The following is a 24,644-nucleotide window of genomic DNA, read 5'->3' on the forward strand; positions in this document are numbered from 1 at the left end:
AATGCATTCTCTTACTACATTGTTTAATAATGTAAGAGATGGCTGGGTGCGGTGGCTCACGCCTGTAATCCTAGCACTTTGGGAGGCTGAGACGGGCAGATCACCTGAGGTCACGAGTTTGAGACCAGCCTGGCCCAACATGATAAAAACCCGTCTCTACTAAAAATACAAAAAAATTAGCCAGGGGTGGTGGCGGGTGCCTGTAATCCCAGCTACTCGGCGGGCTGAGGCAGGAGAATCGCTTGAACCCGGGAGGCGGAGCTTGCAGTGAGCCGAGATCAGGCTACTGCACTCCAGCCTGGGTGATAAGAGTGAAACTCCATCTCAATAAAAGAAAAAATAATATAAGAGAGAAGAAATCTTACAATCTCCACTTTATAGATGAGAAAACACTATGTCTGTGCTGTCCAATATGGTGAGATGTGGTTATCTACATTTATTAATTAAAATTAAATAAAAGTACACATTTGGTTCTTCAGTAGCACTAGCCACATTTCAAGTGTTCAGTAGACACCTGTGTCAAGTGGCTATTATATTGCATGGTGCAGATACAGAACATTTTTATCATTGCAGACAGTCCGATTGCACAGTGCTGCTCTAAGTAATTTGCCTACACAAGAATATGAGAGATGAACTTAGGTCTGACTGTAGGGTATATGCTTTGGACTGTTGTGTTATATTGCTTTCTTAATTACACTGAACTTGGAGAGGTGGAGAGAAAGTTAAATGTCTCTTATTTCTTCAAGAAATAAGAAACACTTCAGAAATGGTGGGTGTATTAGGTCATACTTGCATTGCTATAAAAAATACCCGAGACTGGGAAATTTGTAAAGAAAAGGGGTTTAATTGGCTCGCGGTTCTGCAGGCTGCACAGGAAGCATAGTGGCATCTGTTTCTGGGGGACCTCAGGAAGCTTCCAATCATGATGGAAGACAAAAAGAGAACACTTCACATGGCGAAGGGAGGAATGAGAGAGAGAGTTGGAGGGTGTGGGCCACACACTTTTAAACGACCAGATCTCGGGAGAACTCACTCACTATCCCGAGGACAGCACCAAGAGGATGGTGCTAAATCATTAAAGAGAAATCCACCCCCGTGATCCAGTCACCTCCCACCAGGCCCCACCTTCAACATTGGGGTTTACATTTTAACGTGAGATTTTGGCTGGGTACAAATATCTAAGCTATATCAGTAGGGAGCTAGTGATATACCAACAGAATTTCCATTGCACTCTTTCTGTGGTCCCTCTAAGAACTGGAAATTGTTTCTTTTTATGCATCAGGAAAGTTTGTACTTGCTATTTGATTGCCTTTTTCTGGAACCAGATGGTGACTTTTGCTAGGAGTTATTCTAAGATTATGCCTTATTTACTTTTAAGCCACATTTCCTAATATAGCACCTGGTACAAATAGGCACACAATGAACTAAATTTTAAGAAAGACAACTATAATATCTGCCAGTCTTAAAAGAATTGTAGTAAAGAAGAGAAACATCAGTGCACATCCTTATGATTCCTAAGGGGAAAAAGCAAAGAAGATTTTCCCCAATGCAACATCCAGGTTCCTGGCTTTATTAAAAAAAAAAAAAAAAAAAAAGGTGACTTTTTGTAGCTATACTGTGATAGGGATATAAGAAGGAGTGATCATAAGAATTGCCTAAAATCTTATCTGGGTCAGATTTTACAGTATGCTATTTTAAATCTAAACTAAAGAAACTCTGTATATGGCTCCAAAACAAGCCCTGAGAAAAAGTTGCCTCACTACCAAGTTAATTCCCCTTATCATCTTATGCAGTGAAAGCAAACTAAGTCACCTGTCTGCAACGCATCCCAGTGTGTTATCCCACATTACTTGCATTTACCCATCAACTGTTGTGTGAAAGCTGAAAAACGCACCCTATTTTGGCTCCCAGCTCATCCTCCTGCTTCCTTTTATTAATGCAAAGTCTTCACCTCTGCCACTCATCTCCCTTTCCTTCTCTTCGTGATTTAGCTAAAGTGTTGGCTTCTGTGTCATTTAGAGCAAACAAAACCTAAAGAAATATGTTTTAAAAGACAGATGTGCAGATTTTGGATGGGAAGCAAATGTTGGATGCTCAGTCAATTCCTCGTAAAGGCTTTAATTTACAACAAAAATAAAAAGGAGTTGTTCAACGCGTAGTGTGAAGAGTCAGCTTTGAAAACTGATAAGAGGAGAAAAATGCCAGACTCATTTTGAATTTGAACTTAACAACCAGAACCCTTATTTCTTCATAGCAAAATGATGGCTACTTTCTTGGACTGAGTTAAGAATTTCCCAGAGACATTTCACCGAGGCTCCTTTGTGGACCTGTTTCTGCAGGCTTTAGAATCCCCCTAGCAGGGCTTATCAGAGAAGATTCCAATTTAGAGCAGCAAAAGTTTAGTGTCTGATATCAGCTCTTGGTTTTTTTTTTTTTTTTAAATAAAAAGGAGACATGATGTTTTACAGTGTTAACAGCTTTGAAAGGTCTTGTATTTCCAGTGAACAGAGCACATTTGTGAAAAGGACTCTAAAAAGCATTATTCAGGCAAAAATGTATCAAAGGGATGGGAGTTAAAAAGAAAAAAGTTTGCTGATGTAGAGATTGGAGGCAGCATGTACTGACAGGTGCAATTATGGCCAAATAATTGAATCTTTTTGGAGAGATCTGGTGAGATAAGGCAATAGTTGTGAACTCACATCGGGAACCTGTTCATAATTAGATACTCAGGGGTTCGGCTGTGGATGATACAACCAAAGTAGGGATCTCAAACTACTTTACATGCAGGACACAGCGCAGTGGCATTTGCACTTTGTAAAATAGAGTTTAATAGCATAATTTCAGCCCAACAGACCTTAATTGGCACAGAGGTTAGAGAGAAGGCTTTGCAGTTTGCATTCTCCCTCAGACTCCCCATAGCCTGGAACCCCTCTCTGCCCCAAAGAGTGGAGGTGACTTCAGCTTCTAAGTCCTCTGCAGAGAATCTAAAAAAATGTAAACTTTTCAAAGTTAATGAATTGCTTTTATTAGTAATGTTAAAAATCTTTGCTCTTTGTTTGAAGAGTTTCCAGGCACTTCAATTTCCTTTGTCTACATGTACCTGAGCCAAACACAGTGGGATAGAGAACAATATGGTGTTTATTTCTGAGAAAGTTTCACCAAAGACATAAAATATAATAACCTTGTTCCTGGTCTTGAAATACAGGTGCTTAAAGCCTTGGCCCCATGACATGCTATGTCCACACTTTGTTCAGGAATCTGAAGGGAAGTTCTTTCTCAGGGTCTCTGCGTGGAAATGGAGCTGAGAAGTGGGCACAAGTTAGCAAAATACAGCATGGTCATTTCTACTTATAACAGAGCAAAGAGTATCTCTGAGGTTCCATTAATAATTCTGCTAGACAACTCGCTTCAGGCTTTCATTCTTAATGAAACAATATAACTTACTCTGCTGTATTGTATGATTTTTTTCTTCCAAATTTATAATTTCTTTTATCCTCTTCTATGTGTAGTTAGATTACTTTGTCATTGCAATGGTATTAAAGGTTCTTAAGTTGGCTAGTGAGTTACAGGTTTCTGATAATGACGTCTTAACACTCAGGTGATAGCTCCTTTTTCTATCATGGAGAACTGACTCCTGAATGTCTTTGGATCTCTAGTATTTTCCTAACTGCTAACTTTTCACCTTACGTTCTACCAGTAAGCTTTCGGACTCCATTAGTGTCTAAGTAGACAGAAGACTGTCTTTTGGATTGGCTTTCTTCAAGTATTTAACAAGTTCAAAGGTAAATTCTGTACTGCACCAAGCATCTACCACCACTGTAGCTTTGACCTACCCTATTCTCTTCTTACATTATGAAGCATTTAGCACAGTGCCTGGCTCATAGTAAGCATTCACTGTAATTGTTACTTTAGTTTCCGCTCACCTTGTTTATGTCAATGAGAGAATACTCATCATCTTCAGTATTTTCTTGGAGTTTGACATAGTGACTAATTTAAAATTATTGTTGCCACATCTTCTGCCTGGATCAGTGGGAGATCTTTAGCATTTACATCATGAGCCACAATGGAGGTTTTCAGATTTTTCCATGGTAGGTTACTTGATCTTAATTCCAATATTGGTGCAGGCGGCATGACCTTTTAAAAAAATTGATCGCAAGAATGAGTCCATAGGGTCCACTCCCGGCTTAGAACTACTGGACTTGTAACTGAATCAAATGCACATGGAGAATGAATTAGTTACCCATCTACCTCTCAGTCACCACCTTTAATTATTCTTCAGTATCATGGTGTAATTTTAGTGGAATTAAACTTGAACAGCTCTAAATTACATAATCACATTCAGTTGTAGTTTTAAGTACTAGTTGCTTGAAGCTTGCTAGGAGAGCTCCTAGAGTCATCAGTTATCACAGTGAATCTCAGCCCTGGCTGTGTCTTATTATCACCTGGTGAGAGTTTAAAAAAAATGCTCAGGTTTACCTCAGGGAGCCTGATTGAATTAGTCTAAGGCAGGGCTTAGCCATTCGGTATTTTTAAAATGCTCCTCAAGTGATTTGGAAAGTTGAGAAGCACTGGGTTGGAGGAAAAGAGACTTAGGAAATACTGACTACATTTTTACTTGTGCTAGCTAGCTTGGCTAAACTCTCTTCCTACGGCCTAAGCTATGTACGCCCCAGCCCCTTTCTTGCTTACACCATACCTGCAAATTGAAACAACAGAGAGCAGAAAGAGTGTAGCTTTGGAGTTCAAAAAATTTGATTTCAAACCTTGTCTCTGGGCTGGGTGCAGTGGCTCATGCCTGTAATCCCAGCACTTTGGGAGGCCGAGGTGGGCGGATCGCTTGAGGTCAGAAGTTCAAGACTAGCTTGGGCAACATTGTGAGGAACCCCCACCCCCACCCCCACCCCCGCCCCTGACATTTCTACAAAAAATTAGCCAGGTGTGGTGGCATGCGCCTGTAGTCCCAACTACTTGAGGGGCTGAGGTGGGAGGATCGCTTGAGCCCAGGAGGTCCAGGCTGCGATGAGCTGTGATTGCACTACTGCACTGTAGCCCGAGCAACAAAGGGAGACCCTGATTAAAAAAAAAAAGTCTCTGTCTTTGCCAAAAGTGTGGTAGCCTAGGAAAAGATTCTTAGATTTACTAAATTTTAGCTTCCTCATTTGTTAAATTGGAATAATAAAGCTTCTCTTATTTATATTTATTATTCCTTTATAAAACACGTAAGGAAAGATTCAGTTACCAATGTGACATGAAAACATTTAGCACAGTACCTAGTACATAGTAGGAGCTCAGTATATTCTCTCTCTCTTCTTTATTTTTCATTTCTTCATATGTAAAATGAAGGGCTTGGATTACATTTAAATGCCCCTATACCCTAAAATCCAGTGAATCTGCTTCTTTGCCATAAGCAATGTGATTGAAGAATAACCACCTCGTATGCCTTTTGTTTTAAAAAACAAATTCAGTTCAGTTCATGTACCAAAAAAGAAGTTATTGACACAGTTGACAAGGGATGAATTTGGAGTTTGTTTCAGTATCCTGTCCACTATTCTCAAGTGGCTGCCCTTTCAACCTTCTCTCTATGAAGTAACTGGCCAAGATTGGGGATACGGTTTGAGTTGTGGGAATAAGATTTTTTGATTGAGTGATTGAGTGATGCTATCTGTTTTATGTGGGCATCAATCTTGGCCCTTGACCATCATTCATTTGCTTCAACTGTGTGACCATCCAACATACTTTTTAATTGTAATAATGGTAGCACCTGGTATTTGTATTCTAGCAGCTATTTGAAGTGATAGATTTCAGAGGAGTACAAGTGAAATCAAAACTATCTTTTAATTACTACCTAGGTAATTGGTGTTTTTTTCAGTCAATAATTTAAAATGTTCCTGCATCTCAATCCATTCCCAGACAACCATAGGGGAATTCAATCCATTACAGCTTGGTATCACGGAACAGTTCATTATTCATGGCAATGACTCAGGAAGGCATCTGCCTTGTATTGTCGTGAAAGATACCTGTCTTTTGCTCACTTTCCTGGCTCCAAATGAAAGCTCAGGCAAATGAGAGAGGTTCCAGGCTTCTATTATTACCTAGTTCAGGCTAACCAAAGCAGAGAACTGGGAGATTTTCTAATGTGTTATCACAAGAGAGTTGCTTATATTAGAGCCATAAATCATCTACTGGAAAAGCAACTTTGATGATGATGACAATAGAATCCTCTGCCATTACCCATTGCCTGGCAGAGTGTAACAGAGTTGCAGTGCACCTTAAGGGTTAACAGCAAGAGTTGAAAAACATGACAAATTGGATTCCAATTTTGTCTTCCTCACTATCTATAGCAAGAAACAGCAATTTTTTTCTGTAAAGGGCCAGCTAGTTAATTATTTTAGCCCTATGATCTCAGTCACAACTACTCAACTCTGCAGTGTGATCAAAAGCAGCCACAGATAATACACAAATGAATGGGCATGGCTATATTCCAATAAAACTTTATTTACAAAAACAGGCAATGGACCAGATTTGGACCATGGCTGTTGTTTGCCTATCCCTGATCTACAGGATCCTGTGCTAACAAGTTACTTTAATTCTCTAAAGGTTGTTTTGAGAATAAAAGATATAAAGCATACAATAAAACACTTACCATGTACTTGGTATATAGTAAGAGCTTGAAAATAGTAGTTGCTTTTATGTTATTAAAACATGGTATATCATATGTTTTAAGTGCTGTTGATTATGAGATGCAGTGGGATTTCAGACATATTAAAATGATTAAGAAGTCCCAGCATTGATGAACTGTAGTAACTAATTAATTACAGTGACAAGGTCTTATTTAGGTTTTTAAGTCTTGTTCTACCAGTGGTAATTTAAAGCTTCTTATTTAACACGTCTTTGTGATGTCTTTTTTGTCAGAGACACATGCCATGAACTCTTGGGACATGTTCCACTACTTGCGGATCCTAAGTTTGCTCAGTTTTCACAAGAAATAGGTCTGGCGTCTCTGGGAGCATCAGATGAAGATGTTCAGAAACTAGCCACGGTGAGTTCATTTTCAACTTAAAACCAGTGCTATTTATGTCCATTTGTAAGGTAAAGAAAGCTTCAGGATTATTGACTATGAGTTATAGGTAAATGTTCTGGAGAAAACATGGTGAATTTACCTTTTCCTATGTTGTATTCTTTTGAAGCACAATGAGTTATCAGCTTATTGACCACCAAAACATTTGTATTTTATCATTCTTGTTCGGGGGTCAGCTAGAGATAAAGGGCTAGATAGTAAACATATTAGGTTTGTGGGTCGTAAGGACTCTGTCAGAATTACTCAGCTTAGCCACTGTGGTATGAAAGCAGCCACAGACAACAAATAAGTAAATAAATGAGTGTGACTGTGTCCCAATAAAACTTTATTTATAAAAGCTGGTGGTGGGCAGATTTAGCCTGTGTGCTGTGGTTTGCTGACTCTCACAGAAATATTAGTAATAGTAAAAGGTATACATATATGATAAAGTAGGGGTTGCACCTGAAACTCTCTCTGATTATTCTAGGTGGTTGTAGTCAGACATAATTTGAGTCAACAAGCAATAAGACACTGAGGCTCAACAATTATTCTAAGTACAAAACCAGGAAAAGATTTAATGGATGTTATAGTATCTTCCTAAAACTGAAGTTCTTCTGAAAACAAGCAATATGAGAGAAAAGGTTTAATGTTGGCTGCTACCTTTAAGATGCTGAAGGGCCAGATCTAGCATGCTCATATGCTGTACCCTAGCTCCATTTCTAAGGGCCCAGGAAGAGAAAAAGCAGTTTTAGCCAACCCATTACCTACAGGGACCAGTCAGTTAGCCTAGTGAGCAAAACCACCAAGGGATGAAAAATGCGATCTTAAATTGTATGTATTCAGCACAGGTACACCACAGTGGCATATTTGATATGCAGGAATATTCTTCATTTCCACCCAGAAATAAGTTTTCTCCTAGATTTCTTAAAAACACACAGATCTTTCAGTACATCTTTTGTTTCCTACTTTTGATAAAAATATAGGAACTGGGAGATATTTCTCAACTAAAAGATAAATAGCAATGCAGAAGCCATCTAAATGGCAAGGACCTCTGGGGTCAGTATGGAGATGAATAGGCTCTGGTGGGGGCTGTGGTGGACAAGGACAGCATGTCTCTTGTATAGCAGGTTCTCAGCTTTTACTGCTTGTTGCCAGAGATGGGATGCAGGACTTTGTGTTGCTAGAGATCTCCTAAATTTTTTAGAGAGACTGGCAATCTAGATTTCTCAATGAAATTTAATGATTTTTAAATGTTGGCTTATTAAAAAAAGTCCCACCATTATAGCTGAAGAAAATATATTTGTAGACTGAATCTAGATCTTGGCTTCCAATTTGTAACTTCTGGTATAAGGATTGTGTCTCATTTGTATTGGCTATCCATCACGATATAATAAATTATCTCAAAGCTTAGTGGCTTAAAACAACAAACATCTATTATATCATAATTTCTATGGCTGGAAATTTGAAAGCAGCTTAGCTGAGTGGTTCTGGCTCAGGGACTCTCAGGACGTTGTAGTCAAGATGCTGGCTGGGCCTGTAATTGTCTGAAGGTTTGGGAATTGGCTTCCAAAATGGCTCACTCATGTGGCTATTGGCAGGAGGCCTCGGTTCCTCACCGTGTGGGCCTCTCCTTAAGCTACTTATGACATAGCCACTGGCTTCCTCCACAAGTGATGACAGAGAGTGAGAGCAAGGAGAAAGCTGTGATGTCTTTTGTGGCTTGATCAGATGCTGTTCACATTGGCCATATTCCGTTCATTAGAAGGGACTCATTTCAGCCCACGCTCAACTGGAGTGGAATTAGTTTTCACCATTTAGAAAAAGGATTGTCAAAGTATTTGTGGATATATTTTAAAACCACCATATCATAAGTTGTTTAGTTCTGAAACCTTGGTTCTGGTTTTAAATGCCTTGTTTTGGAACCTTTTCTGTGCATTTCAAACTTGCCTTGAAATTTTCTGGTTTCAGTCTTTGACTCCCTTCTGCCTATACCCTTGATCACGGAGCAAGATATATCGCTCACTTGTCTGACCTTGAATAGCCATAAACTGATACTTAATGGCCAGGCTGTGTGGAGCTGATGTGTGTGTGTGTGTGCATGTGTGCATGTGAACATGGGCATCTAAATAGAGGAGAAGAAGAAATAAGGCAGGAGTTTATGGATGTAAATGGAGGTGGATCCTCCTTGTGAGTGCAGTTAGTCCTTTTTCTAAAACAGTGACATGAATACCATTTTATTGTCCTTTTTCAGTCCATCAAATTATGATTAATTAATTCCATCATTCAAATTACATTTATAAGGAATGTGACAATGTTCTCCTCACTTTTTGGAAATTTATAGCTTATATCGACAAAACAGATTTTTTAAGAGGATAGTTTGTACTGAATCTTTAAAGATGAGAAAAGATAGTCAAGTGGAGAAGAGTGAAAGAGGGAATAGAGGAATAGTTTTAGTCAGAATAATTTCTCTGGTTTGGCAGGGCTGTGTTCCTTTATGGGGGCTCTGGGGTATGAGCCGTTTTGTTGCTTTTTCCACCTTCTTGAGGCCGTCTGCATTCCTTGGCTCATGGCTTTCTTCATTCCTCTTTAAAGCCAGCAACGCTGCATCTCTTTGATCTTGTTTCTGTCATCACATCTCTCTCTCTCACTGACCAAGACTGGGAAAAGTCCTGTGCTTCTAACGGCTTCTATGATTAGATTGGGCCCACCTGGATAATTTATGATAATCTTCCCGTCTCACTATGTATGGCCATCATCAACATCTGCAAAGGTAACATATTCACAGGTTCTGGGGATTAGGCCATCAAAATCTTTATGGGATCATTATTCTTTGTTTCTACTTTTACACTTTCTGGGAAAAATGAATACTCATACCTTGAAATCTATTTTACTAGGCCAACAAATTTGTAGGATGAGTAAGTTTTCTTTAGGAGCTTGCATTCCTTAGGATAATTCCAATACTCTTGGCCTTGGGTTGCTTGAGCTCCAACAGCTAAAAACACTTCCATCTAGTAGAGAACATTAGGCCATTAATCATGTTTCACCATCTCTTTTTCTCTCCCTCTCTCTTTTATTGTCCTTTCCCTGAAATGTACCTGCTTTTTTGCAAAAGCCAATTTAAGCTACCAGGCATTCTTTAAATGGCTAAAGGATCCTAGGTACCATGAGGTAGGGACAGGGGGAAAAAAAGAGGTGGTAGTTTCTTCAAGAAAGTCACAGTCTAGTACCCCAAAATACAAAAAACCCAGAGTCAGTATTATTTTTTATTTATATACATGAGTAGTTATGTAGAAGAAATGGATTTAGCTGAACATTCACCATGTGTGAGTGAGTTCTGAGTTCAGTGTTGGAGGCTGGGCTTCAGGATAGGGGGCAGGAGCTAGAAGAGATGGTCTTCTCTATATAGGTCATGGCTAGGAAGGATCAAGTGTCCTTCCAAGGAGGCCAACCTACCTGCAGTCTTATGATGACTTTGAAAGTTTAAAAGAAAGTGTAAACTTGCAAAGGACTTAACATAAATGCTTTAAATGCAGTGAAGAATTTGGGATGGAGTAGGGGTGGGTGTTTGCCTCACCATGGTTTTGACTGATTCACTCATTTCTCTTTTCTTGATATTGCTTGAGCTCCCACCCCAACTCACTCTGACTTTCTGTCTCTCATGACCCTTCCAGTTCCAAATTTTCCCAATTCTATAGGCTGCCCGTTTACTTCGAATAGTGTTTTGCAGACCAAAGAGAAATTTGGAAGGATTTTTCTGTATGATGTGGAGAGTATGGAGGAGGATAACCTCACACAGTGTGAGGAGGCTAAGGGAGATTGTTCCTGAAATGATACTAAAACTGCTATTGACTTCAAGAGCCACATACCATCCATCAGTTAAAAACAAAGTGAATAGAAAATTGCCAGAAGATAGTCTTGAAAAAAAACCCCACAGATTCCAACCAGCCAATTTCAAAGTAAGCCCTGGAATAAATAACCTGTTGGATACCATGCATGTTAATGAACCTCAAACCATATACTGAAACTAGAAGGCAAATTTAATGACCCACTTGCAGAAACAAAAATATTAAGAGCTCAGGTCTTACTGGCAGGGATAAAAAGTCTATGGCAGGGGGATAATGGTAGCTAGCAAGGCCAGATGAGAAATAGAGGTATTATTAGCTGATTTCCTCAAAGTTGTTCACATTAAGTCTTCTGAAGAAGTAGAGGAAAATGAGCAATGAGATGCACCAAAGGAGAAAAATCTATAGAGAGGACAAATGGAAAGCCATGGAAATCACTATTTATGCAGAACAATGAGACAGGCCATATTACTCTTTGACTCTAGGTGAGATTTATATTATTAATGACTCTTTTTCTATAGTGCCTGCTTTTCCTTATTTAGTGAATTTAAGCACTTATGAAAAAGAGAGTCATGCCTAGTGAAAGCAGACATGTAATAACTTTCTGTGATGTGCTATCGACAAATCCATCTAAAGAAGAAAACCACCTCCACTAGGACTAATCGGCACCGCCAAACTCTTTGTCCAAAGCAGCTTTTGAACTTCTTGGTCTGATTTTCCGAGGTACTAGACTATATTGCCTATGGCTCTTCTATCTCCTTGCTATATTTCTATAGAATATTTATTTTGACATTTTAATAATGCTCAGTTTTGAGAATAAAGCTATCTCTGCTATTTAATGTGGGCAATGGTTTCTATGCCCTGAGAACCATTTAAATGAACTCTTTTGTATCTGAAGAAATTGATGACAATGCTTAGAAAACATATTTCAAATGCATTGTTATACATGTAAATAATTTGCCCTCTGGTGGATAATAAATAAGACCACTGGTTGTGGCAGCATTACTCTGTTTCATACTCATCATAGCTGTCCGAGGTCTGTGTGTGATAGATATGCAAAAATATTCCCAATAAAGACTGCTTAGAGTGTGTTATAGTTTTGAGACCTGCTATTTACCACTGTAGCACTAGTGGAAGTGAATTTAATAGATTAGTGTGTATGTTAGGAGTTGTAAACTTAAATGTTACTTCATTGGCCAGCTAGGTAGCACACGTGTGAAATAGCCTGATATAAGATAATAAGGAGTATCAGAGCATGTGGACAACTGGAGAATGTATATATTATGCTAAAGGGCTTCAAATTCCAAAACTAAAAGAAAACAAAAGGTTCTTTGGCTGCAAGTGATGTCTGCAAAAAGCTGAAACAGAACTACAAGGCTCTCAATTCTCTGTCCTTATATCTAAAATTAAATTCTACCTTAGACTATACTATCCTTGAGGGACAAGCCCATGCTAGATTCTTCTTTATATCACATTGTACATTCTCAATTACAGTTTTCTGGACAGCACAATATTTTTCCTAAGAAAAGACAGCTATTACAGTGTTCAGTAGAGATAAGTATCTTATTGTGGTTGAGAGGTGACTTGCCTTTGAGTCATAACTTTAAACCTGTTACAAACACGACTCTCATACATATGCATTGAACATGTGTCAAAGATTTATTTAAAACCCATTAATGAGGGAGGGAAAAGCAGGATGGTAAATCTAGTTCAAAGAAGAATTTGAGGGACCAAGAATATATAGTCACTGAAGGAAAGAATCCTGAAATAAGATGCAAAATGGTTAATGTTCTACAGGGCAATAAAACCATAACCTTGAGGTTATCTTTTCTACTGGGCAGAAATTATTTGCATGTCTTGTGGACAAAATAATTTGCAATTTGTCAGTCTTCACAAATTAACATTGAACTTTACAGTCTGTGGACCCTAATCAATAATAAATAGGAAGTCAGACAAAGATTATATCCCCTTGATCAGTGCTTCTCAAAATGTGATGTATACGAAGTAACCTGAGGATCATGTTAAAATGCAGATTCTGATGGAGTGGGTCTAGAGTGAGGCCTGAGACTTGGCATTCCTGACAGATCTCACATCATGCTGCTGCTGCAGGTTCAAGGACCACATTTCAGTAGCAGGAATGGTGGGTGGCATTTTAGACATGCAGATCCATTAGACAATAGGAGAGTATGTCTTTCGAAAGGCACATAGTAATCTTTCATCCTTATTTCCATATTTTGCCTGCTTTTCTAACAACTGGATGAACAGGATATCACCAGATAAATATCATGCAGTATGAGATGAGTGTATTTATGACTTATTCAAGCCCTGAAAACAGACCTTTCATCTATGAGAGCCATGTCATTGCTTCTGTTTTGTGTCTCTGCTCTCATCCTCTTCTGTCTGCTGTTTTTCCATATGACTTACATTATTTATTTTTATACAAATACACAAACAGAAATTTACTGATCAGATGAATTTAGGAAATAGTCCCTGAAATATATTGATTTCTCTTCCCCCAAATGTTAGAAAATGTAAAGGGGCATCTTTCGTCAAACAGTACATCCCATCCTATGATGCAGATGGCTTCAATTCAGTCTATTCATTTCTCATATCATAAAGGCATTTGAAACAGACAAAGCTGTGCATCATCTGTGGGGGAAGCAATCAGTGTGAATACACCACAGATGTTTCCAAAGCAGAATAAATCGGCCTCTGGCCCAGTTGGAATTTTTCCTCCACAAGAGTTTTAGGTGATCCATTCTGTTCTGTCAACCCTGAATCATGTTTACCTTCACTTTCTGATTGAAAGATTTGTTACTGGATCTCAGTAATGCTGATGAGAGAAGAGTCTTGGCTAAGGGTAATGAGGGAGTAAGGAGTCTTTCCCAGAACCGGTTCCTGGAATGTTAGCCTTATGAAATGGCATTATGAGTTCTGTAAAAGGAGGGACCCATGGGCAAATGTATTTGGACAACACTAGCTTAAATAAACAGCTTTGTGTTCTTTTTTTTTTTTTTTGAGACAGAGTTCTCTCTCGTTGCCCAGGCCAAAGTGCAATGGCGTGATCTCAGCTCACTGTAACCTCCGCCTCCCAGGTTCAGGTGATTCTCCTGCCTCAGCCCCCCGGGTAGATGGGATTACAGGCATGTGCCCGGCTAATTTTTGTATTTTTAGTAGAGATGGAGTTTTGCCATGTTGGCCAGGCTGGTCTCGAACTCCTAACCTCAGGTGATCCATCCACCTCGGCCTCCCAAAGTGCTGGGATTACAAACTTCTTAGAAACATAATATGTGGAGTGAATCTCCAAAAGTGATAAAAAGTTATTTTTCTAAACTTACCATATCTCCTCCATTTGAAGGTGCCATTGGTTGTAAACCATTTTGTTAATTTAATAGTGGCTTTTTTTTTTAGAGGGAAAAGATTCAGCTAGCTAAATTTTTGATATTGTAAGATGAAGCTCCATTTTGGAAATGTTAAAGTATAAAAAAAGTGAACTTGGGAATTGTTGGTCAAAGGGTACAAAGTTTTAGATAGATAGAAGGAATAGGTTTTGAGGTCTATTGCACAGAAGGGTGACTATAGTCAATAATAATGTCTATTTCAAAATAACTAAGAGAGTAACTTTCAAAAGTCTCACCATAAAAATAATAGGTAGGTAAGTGAGATAAATGGACAGGTTAATTAACTTGATTTAATCATGCATGTCACATACAAATACCAAAACATCACATTGCATCCCATAAATATATACAACCATGATTTGTCAATCAAAAATAATATTAGAAAAAGATAAATGCCATGCAAAGAGGGTCTGGCTGTTCATACTCCCAGGCGAGAAAGAAAGGGTGGCCAGTGCTTACAGTTATAAGCAGAATCACAGGTGTCACTGGATGAGGGAGGGGGAGAGAGACAGAGACAGAGAGAGACAGAAAGGGAAGAGAAAGAGACAGCAAGAGACAGACAGAGAAAATGAGAATACACTGTAGTAATCGTAAATTAGAAATTGGTTTTTTATCTGACCAGGAAAAGGGTGGAAGAACCGTGGCTACATCTGAGCTCTGATAATGGCAAGGTTAGAACGCTAAACATTTAGATACTGATTGCTATGGAGTGCACTTGACAAGTAATACAAATCTTAGAAACAAAACAAAACACAAAAAGGAAGAAAATACATTATACGGTCACAGTGGTCTCTTTTTAGGAAATGCATATTAGCATGCCAAGCTTTTAGAATTCCAAGAAACACATTTTAGGAGATATAAATCTAGAATGTTTTTTGAAAGGGCGAAATTCATTGTGAACATGACCAGACCATCACCTATTTTATTTTACTTTTTTTTTTTTTGCAGGAAAGAAGTGTCAGGAAATTAATAATACAGGGTTCTGTTTGTACTTTCCTTGATTAAAACAAATAATTTATTTGTTCCAAGTAAAAGAATTTGCATTGATTGGGGCTTTTGGTGGTCATGAATCACGTGTATTTGAATTTTCAGGATAACCAGTACTTTCTCATGCTGAGAGTTGTAATGAAATGTACAGTCAGTCTTAAACTAATAATCAACTATAATTTATGTTAGAAGTGTAATTATAAAGGTAACCTTAGTTTATAAATTGCTAATTAATATTTTCCTCCCTGCTGAGGATATTAGCTTGTTTCCTGGTCCCTCTTGTCTTTGCCTACCTGGCTGGGGATGGGGAATCTTTGGATGCTGAAAGACTTATGCACAGCTGTAGTTCTTTCTGAACATGGATGACATTAAAAATGACCACTTTAGTATCTCTACAGAAAGCTTGAAATAAGCCTCAGGCTTATTTATTCCATGTAGAGTCTTTGAACTATTTCAGCTGTTTGGATCATTTTATACAAAGCTGACAAAGGGCTGGGGGGAATGCACTTTTATACATTCTTAATTGAGATGTTTGTGTGGATGATCAGTTTCTGTGTTATTTTTAAGAGTAACTTAATTAAAAGTTAATAATATCTATTCCAAGTCATTACTTTCACTTTTATGTCTGCTGTACATATAGAAGAGTAGTAGCATCTTGCAAGAAGTGCTCAAATTCTTTAACTAGTCACATAGACCTTAACTTCTGTCCTTTTTCACTATTTTCACCACTACCTTATCTTGGTCTTCCTTTTTCTACCTGGGTGCTCTGAGGCTACACTTTCTGCTGACTAATTCTCTCCTGAGAACTTTGATATTGTAGCCCAGGCTGTTTTGTTCTACTCATATGTGCATGTTTCCTTTATGATATTTGTTGTTGCCATTATGAGGTGTTTGCCATCTATTTATATTATGATGAGAACACCACAGTCATCTGGAATTGGAAAACAAACAGGAGCTCTGCATTGCCCACTATGTTCAGAAACAAATACATTTGCAATCTGGAATAGTTATATATTTTTGCAACTCAAATCTTTCTTTGTTATTTAGAACTGTATGCTAGGGCTCTCAGAGAGCCATCATATAATTGCAGATGAGAAACAAAGCAACACAATCCTATTTTAGATATTTGGAAACTCATAAAGATAGAACTACCTTGGTAACTCTTTATTCTCTGTTCATGTGCTGAGTTGAGTGCTGAACCCACCATGCTTTGCACACACTTCATTTTATCCATGCAGAAGCACCATAGTCAACAGCTGGGATCTCTCAGCACTCATCCCAGCTCAATGAAGATGCTATTCGGGATGTTTGATGTACAGTATGTGGTGTGGTGCAATGTGGTGAAAAGAATCTGAACTTGAAGTTAGCACAGCTGGGTTTGAGTGTTAGATTTGTTACTTCCTAAACTTGTGCTCAGCTTAGGCACAAAGAAACAAATTATATTACCTCTTTTTGTCTCAAATGTCATCTTTCAATTGAAGATATTCTTCTACTGCCCAATGTTGAATAAAGAGTAAAGGAGACGGCATACTTTAATGATGTACATATGACATTATCTATGTCATACCCAGGTCTGGAAATACTTCTTCTCATCATTACCTAAAAAATTCTAACTGCACCAAAGGAGGTGTGTTATTGGATATCTAATTTTAAAGTCATTTTAAGTCCCCCAATTCTCTAGTTTTTCCCATAATTCAAAAGTCCTGATATTGCGGACTTCTTACTTTTTCTTCTCAAAGTAAGCTAGAATACATTCATTAAGCACAGAAGATTTCTGCAGTCATTTTAATTTCCATAAAGATGTATAAAAGAAAGGGTTTTCTGGTTTAACTACAATGGAGTAGGCTCTCAAAATCTTAGACTTGTATTAACAGAAATATCTGTGGTGTAATTCCATTTCTAGCAAAAGCAGAAAGAAGATGGTTGGGACTTTTTTATGAGCTAGAATAGCAGAGGTAATGTTATATCAAACTATAGGGATTTAATTACCCCATTCCACAAATGTAGTTTTCAAATAAAGGAGTCAAAAGGATTTCTAAAGCTATTCTTCTGAACTGTGATATAAAAACCCAGAATACATTTAGTAGATGTAAAATGTATTACTGTACATTAGGAGCCACCACAATGAATGGTATCACAATAAGAAACACGACATGAGATTGAACACACAGTGATTAGAAATCTCTTGGCTGTCTTCTTAGAAATATTGCAATTTGCTTAGAGTTTTATATGCTTGCCACTGTAAGGATGGGCATTTCTGGACTGTTTCTGATGGGTGAATTTCACACTGGGGAAACGTCTCCTAGAAAATGGAAATGCTGTCATTTGAGGGCTTAAATCCAGACTAGGGGTAAGTAAGAAATGCTGTTAGGTTTGGGAGGAGTAAATCACCTTGTGAGGGGGGTGCTCATCATTTTTTTCAGGATCTGAAAGTCTGTCCTTTAGAACGTCCATAAAAAATCATCTCTTCAGCAATGAAGAGGAGGCTAATGCAGGGTGACTCAGGGACTTCTTTACTGAGGGGGCTTTAAAGTCTTTACAAAAACCTCTTTTCCTCTTTCTTATTAAAAAGATAACATATATTTATTGTAGAAAAAATTTAAAACATAGATAAGGAAGGAAAATAAAGATCATCTGCACTATCACAGCAGCAATAAACACTCTTAACATTTTGGCATATAGTCTTCTAGCTTTTCTGAAAAGTCATTTTGCCAAGTCAAATAAGAACTTAGTAAATGGAAGTTCTGGCATTGGAAAAAGGAGCATCGAGGTTTGCATCCATTTATCAAACACTTGTGCTGTCAGGAAAGTCTTTATCTTTTATATCTACAGAGGAAAGAATAAATTGGGTATATTCTAGAAATAGGGGGTTTGTAACTTTCAATCAACTAAGTTCCGAAGTGTTTTAGAGAACATTAGCTGTGGCTGATAAGTTTTGTTTGCTTTTCCTTCTTTGTTTTGAGAAAAAATTGAGCACATACCACTTTTTAATTAAAGAATTGTTTTCCACACATATTTCCTCAATCTTCAAATTTTCCTTTAGTTCTGTCCCCATTAGTGAGAGCTATTTTCATCCAGTCTAATCAATACTCGCCCCTTTCATTGTTCTCATTTTGAGTTTAGATCATAAACATACATCTGTCAGTAGCAAAAGTATTCTAAAGCTCCCCCTCTGCACTTGGTCGCAGATACTCATACTGTTAGGGTGTAAAAGGGAAACTGGAATCCATAAAACAGGGTGAACTCTACTATATATGACACTATGCGGTTTTCCTGAGCTGTGCAGCACAGGGACCTGCTAGTAAGGCAGTATAGTATAGTGGGTAATTCAGAGTGCAGGTTTTGGGGTTAACTTACCTGGGTTTATACCCAGGCTCTGTCACTTACTGGCTGGATGAGGTTAAAGAGAAGATTATTCATAACACTTGTTAAAGAATGGTAAGGAAGACTTTATGCAGGACTATCATAATAGGTGCAGAAACCACTGCAATGGGGTTTTGCAGTAGGGGAGAGAGATTGGGTTCAACTCCTGATACAACAAAGAAAAGTAAGAATTTATAGCCAAGGAACAGGGTTGGGGAGGTGGTGGTCAGTGCATGGAGAGTTACTAAGAGGAAACCTCAGGGGCAAGGGAGGATTCTGGCTGAACTGTCCTAACAGGACTCTTGTGGAAGGCAGGCCAGGATGATTCAGACATCATCTGGGGAAAGGTAGGGGATGAGGAATCTGATCAGATACTGAGGGTGATCAAATATCAAGGGTGATTCCAGTCAGATATTGAGGGTGATCAGATGTCAAGGGTGAGGAATTCTGGCTAAATTAAACAATTTAGCAGGATTCTTGCTAACATTGGACAATGTAGACATGAGCACAGAAACACCAAAGTCAAGGTGTCGCTGGAAAAATGGTTCAGAGGAACCTGATTAGAATTTGGTTAAGATTAAGATCTTTGTCAGTAACTTTGCACAAGTTACTTAACCTCTCTGTGCCCCAGTTTTGTCATCTTTAAAATGAGGCTAATGATACTATACAATCTTGTAGAGCTGTTGTGAGAATTGATGAAATAATGCATTGTGAAGCTGCTTAGCACAGTGCTAAGCGTTCAAAAAATGCCAGCTAGCATGTTTCACATGACTATACTCTCAGACTTCTGGGTGGCCATATCAGAAAGCACTCATGTCCAGGAAAGGCCCCTGGAGAGTTTCTTACTTTCTTCTGTGACCTTGGGTAATCCTCTAACTTTCAACAACTCACGTTTCCCCTTCTGAAGTGCAGACTATGCAGTTTATATTACAAAATGGTTTTAGATGGAGATAGCATGCTACTTTGCAATGTAAAGTGTTTTAACCATAAATAATAGAGGTAAGGCCTCCCCTAAGAGATGTCGAGCTTCTCCTTGGAGATGGAGGAGGCTTCCCCTGAGTGAATAGCACACCTCCCCCGAGCATAGAGAAAGGCAAGTCACAGGAAACAGCTTGGGGAAAACAAATGAAAAAATATTGTTTGTGCCAGTGAGGGCCTGTGAAAGATGAATTCCTGACTAAACTTGTTAAGCAGATTAGGAGTGATGCTGTTCATAAATACATGCAGCCTTCCCTGAATAACTAAATAAAGCAATAAATTTGGGGTTTCAAATCTTGGCTGCTCCTCCTTATGAGTTCATGCTTCTTAGAACTCCAGCCAGGTGTTCGCAGTTTGGATGTAAGATGGCTTCATTAACATACAAGTATGCAAAGAAGCCATTGGAAGAGTTCTGAAAGATGTTGTTTGCTCTAGTTTTGATGTGTTTTGGATATCTCTTCATGTTGGTACACAGGGGTCCTATGTTAGTGTCTAACTAGCAAAGTTTAAAAGTTCTCTGTAATAAAACAAGGGGATGTACCTTAAAATGACATGCTTTAGAAACATTTAATTGTTTAGCTCTCACAAAAACTTTTTTTTTTTGGCTGTTCACTTTTTCCTCTTTCAAATCTAATTAAAGAGTCTTAGTTCTTCCAAGAAAAAAGCCAACGGTATAATAGGCAAGGTAAGGGCATTGGATTTTGCTTCTTTGGAAAGATGTTCTAGCAAAGGCACACTCTTATTGTATTCCTACTAAATATCTTTTCCACAGCGCTGATAGAGTCAGTTATGGCCCATTCATTTATTCATTAAGTAATATTTACTGAGCAACTACTATGTGTCAGGACTTAGTTAATTCAATTGTTAAACACTAGTCCTACTTTTGGGGAGCTTGCAGTCTACCGAGGGATATAGATAAGTGAACAGGGACTTTATAGCTTGTGAAGGCAAAGATAGAAGAAGGCGGGCACTCACATCAGGTTCAAGGAGCAAGATGGCTGATCAAAGGTGGCTTCCTGAGGGGAGGCTTCTCTCAGCAGTCAAATTGGTAAATTTTAATTTGCTGTTACATATGCTTACTGGTAGAATAGATGTTAATACTTCAGGAAACTTTTGCATCTAATGGGCTATCTCTACCTTGGAAAACTCCTTAGATTGAGATTCAGAAACCGTTGACCTGTAATTAAGCCCATGCTTGCCTAATCAGAATGTAATTTCTTTGCAGAATCAGAATCCTGAGATGGGATGAGTTAGCCACACAGATAATGCTGTTCCTTATTGTCCCAGGGCAGGGAATCTTAACCTGAGTTATAGCTCTTACGTTTATTTAGCATCTGACATATGTTCATTCATGTGAGTCTCACAATGGCACTTCAAGGGAGGCAGGACTCATATTGTCCCTTAACACAGTCCTGGTATTCATTCACATGATGCTGCACACACATTCGGTGCTTAATACAATTTTGGTGAGGAAAGGAATCCCCATTTTATAGGTGAATAAAGGGAGGCTCAGACAAATTAAATGTTGTGTGTAAGACCATAATGCAGAATAATGGCAGGGACTGAGCCATTAGTTTTCTGAGTCCTGGGTCCAGTCTAGCAAACTACTTCTCAGGAGTTTAGGGTGTTAGGGTAAGTTGTGACCAAGTGAGACAGCAGAAGCCCTTGTTCATTGTCCTGGAGAGCCAATTTGTTGCTACAAAGTGGATTTCAGGGTCTTTAAATCATGCAATCCTCTAAAAAAGGGATTACAAAGCAGCATCTTCTGGTCTGGCTAATATCTGAGCAGTGTGCATGTGTGTGTGTGTGTATGCCTGCATCTTGCTTATAGTGTAAAAAATTACCTATATTTACACATCAGAGGATATCACATGACATCCAGATTCTTAGCTTCTCTCAAAAACAAAAACAGAAACAAAAACAAAACCAGCTTCTCTGGCAGTCAGATTGCTTTATACCAGTGGCCAATTGATCAGAGCTGAGTTGCTGTTGTTCCCTTAGATGGGGTTCATGATCCTCCCCTGGGAAGTGGAACTTCATCTTCAATCACCTGCCTGTCCTGCCTCTACTGATTGATTAGGGGAAGGGAAAGAGAAGAGAGGGATTGTCATTCTAAGCTTGGGATTGTCATTCTGGCTACCAGCTCTCTTGGTAGCCAAAGCCAGAGAGTAAGTTGGCAAAATAACTTACCATGAGACACTAGAAATATTTCAAGTCATCATCCTTTATTGTCTCATGAATTTTCACTATCCTTTACCAAATTAATTTTGTGTCCATCAAATAATGCAAACATAAGTAGAATGCTGTAATATTACATAGTATTTTGTTTTGTGCTTTGTAATATGGCTTTTTAATAGAGACACAACTTACTATATTTCTAAACTAGCCTCATTGATTGTAATCTCAGCTCTCTTGAGCAGTGCTAGTTGGAGTGCCATTTCCAAATGGTGAGACTAAGAAAACTAGTCTTCCTTTTGTGACTTGTTTGTAGTGTGTGTTCTTCATTGGCTTTCAACAGTCCTGTGTTATGTTTCTTAGGATATCCAGGAGTCACAAAGGAAATGAAGGCACCTGCCCCAGGGCAGGACATGGCAGAATGGCTGCAGGAAAGCTAGACAGACCCCTGTCTTTTCTGGCACACACCAAGCTCAACTATCAAGAACACGATGTAAACATCAATTCTGGGGGCCTGTAATGTTCAGTCACTCTGGGGACAGAAGGAAGATAGTGTGGTATGGTAAAAACAGCACAGTCTTTGGGGGTTAGGCACACTTGATTCCAATCTACTTCTATTGCCCTTAAATTTGCAGAAGTTACTCAAGCTCCATGTCAGTTTCCCCATGTTTGAAATGGGGGATTTAGCACTGGCAAATAATAAAACTTCAATAAGTAGTAGTTATTTTATTTTCTCCATTTTACACACAGGGAACCTAAAACTCAGAATGGTTAGATAACGTCTCCAAGGTCAAGTAAATGGCAGAGCATGCCCTTGAACCTTGGTCTCTCACTCCAAAGTCAATGCTCAAACTACCACATTACATCACTTTCGTAATGTCTGCCTCTCAGGGTTGTTGTGAACATGATGTAAAGTGCTTAACAGTGTGTCTGGTGGAGTGCAGGCTTCAGTAACTGGCAGTGATTATTATGAGAGATAGGTGAGCTCAACTGAGCTTAAATGCCTTCTAGAAGTTCAATTACTAAAAGACCCTCAATGTGACGGGGACCCCAGCTCAAAGGTATATCTTTTCAGCCCCATTTACACATATAGATGCTTGGTGTCATCTCTGAGTATGAGAGATGATGATGCTAGTGGTGATGGTTAGTGACTAGAAAAGAAACATGACTTCATTAATAAAAACTTAAAATAGAAGACTGCTCAGTGCAATGGAGTGGCAAGAATGACTCTCCCTGCCAAACATACCTTTCTCGTCAGTTTTCAGACACGAAATCATCTTCCAGGATTCTCTGTCTTGCCTGGAAAGAAATAGGCGAGAAAGTGCAAGCTCCTTAGACCTAATGTCTAGGAGGGTGTTGCTTTTAGTAATGCAGGAATAAAAATAAAATGACCCTCTAAAAGGCAGTGGTGACTACCCACAGCTCATGTGGGAGTCAGTAAAAACCTCATTTTTCATACTAGCATTCGAGAGCTGACCTTTAAAATCACCACATCTGGGGAGAATGTGTGATTTGATGCAGAACATTTTAGGGCATGCCAAAGGATGAATGGCTGAGAGTGCGCTCATCAGTTTTCTTCTGTTTCAAGGAGCTCAGAATTGCTTAGATTATAAAAATCAGTTCCTGGGCACTGCCAAAGCTATAGCATTTGCATAAGCAGGTCTTCTGTGCAAAGTAGATTAAGCACATATATAAATGGAATGCTGATCCATGCACCTGATATGAAAATGATGTGTACCTGTGTGTGTGTGTCCATGTCCTCACAGTGAAGTTTAGCTATTTCAAGGTAGCTAGTTATGTAAGTTCAGCAAAGGGTCATTTGGAAAAAGATAGAACTGCTTTAAAAGAAGAGCCAAACTCTGTCAATTGCTTTGTTATGGAGATGTTGCACTGAGGCTCATGCACTATTTCTAAGGTCCAATGAGTGAGACTGCTGAATATAAAACTAGTTTTTGATTTGTGAAAGGCAAAATACCTGCAGGTCCAGAAGGAATAAAATATGCCTGTTTGTATTAATAAAACCAATTTTTAAAGAGCCATGGAATTTTGTAAAAAATAGAATTGGATGGATGGACATCTCACAGATTCATCTCCAAGAAAAAATAGCATCTCTCTGATCTTGTGTTTCATCATCTGCTAAATGAAGGTCTGGGCAGTGATGCTGATAGAAATTCCCTGTAGCTGCTAATTCTGAGCAGGTTGGGCTGTGAGGCACTTTGGAGCTTGGATCTGTTACAAACTCGTCCATTCTCTAGCATTTTCCCTGGCAAGTCTCCAGTTGGCTACAACCTTCAAAAGCAGCAAACTGAAAAACTTTCCCCCTGACATTTTTGGATGAGAATCCAGATGTCAGAATCAATGGGTCTTCAGAGTTGCTACTTGTAATGAAGGAGACCAGAGACCACTTAACTACAAAACTGCTGCCTAACTTCTATAGGAGCTACCTGCCAACCAACCTTCATCCATGCTCCAAAAGGCCTGTGGTGTCTTAGGGCCTGACTGTGGCAAGGAGGCTGGTTCCACCCTTCCTCACTGACTTGGGGACCACTGGCTATTGCTTAAAGGGAGTAGAGAGAGAGGTCAAAGAGCAGACCTATTTCTAAACCTATAAGTGAAAACCACTTTGATGGCTACTGTAGACTTTTACAAAGTCTGTAATACTGGAAAATTGGCTGAGGTTAGTAATGACTCACTCAGAAGGCTGACATTGACTCTGTTGGTATGGCCTGCAGGGCAACTCTTCTTGCTTATCTATTTCCTCCCTCCTTCTCTTCCTTTCTTTCTACCTTAACTATTTGCTGAGTACCTTCCGCATGTCAGGCAGGATGATAGAGAGCAGGA

The 24,644-nt window shown here is 38.8% G+C and overlaps 1 protein-coding gene across 1 annotated transcript in view; it reads left to right on the forward strand.

The window, feature by feature from the left end:
- TPH2 (tryptophan hydroxylase 2) overlaps positions 1-24,644 on the forward strand; it is a 93,596-nt gene that overhangs the window by 48,682 nt on the left and 20,270 nt on the right. Inside the window, exon 8 of the mRNA NM_173353.4 lies at positions 6,913-7,039. Coding sequence (NP_775489.2) covers positions 6,913-7,039 — 127 coding nt within the window. The remainder of the gene's footprint in view (positions 1-6,912; positions 7,040-24,644) is intronic.

The sequence above is a fragment of the Homo sapiens genome, chromosome 12 (assembly GCF_000001405.40).
Source record: "Homo sapiens chromosome 12, GRCh38.p14 Primary Assembly".
Taxonomy (NCBI): domain Eukaryota; kingdom Metazoa; phylum Chordata; class Mammalia; order Primates; family Hominidae; genus Homo; species Homo sapiens.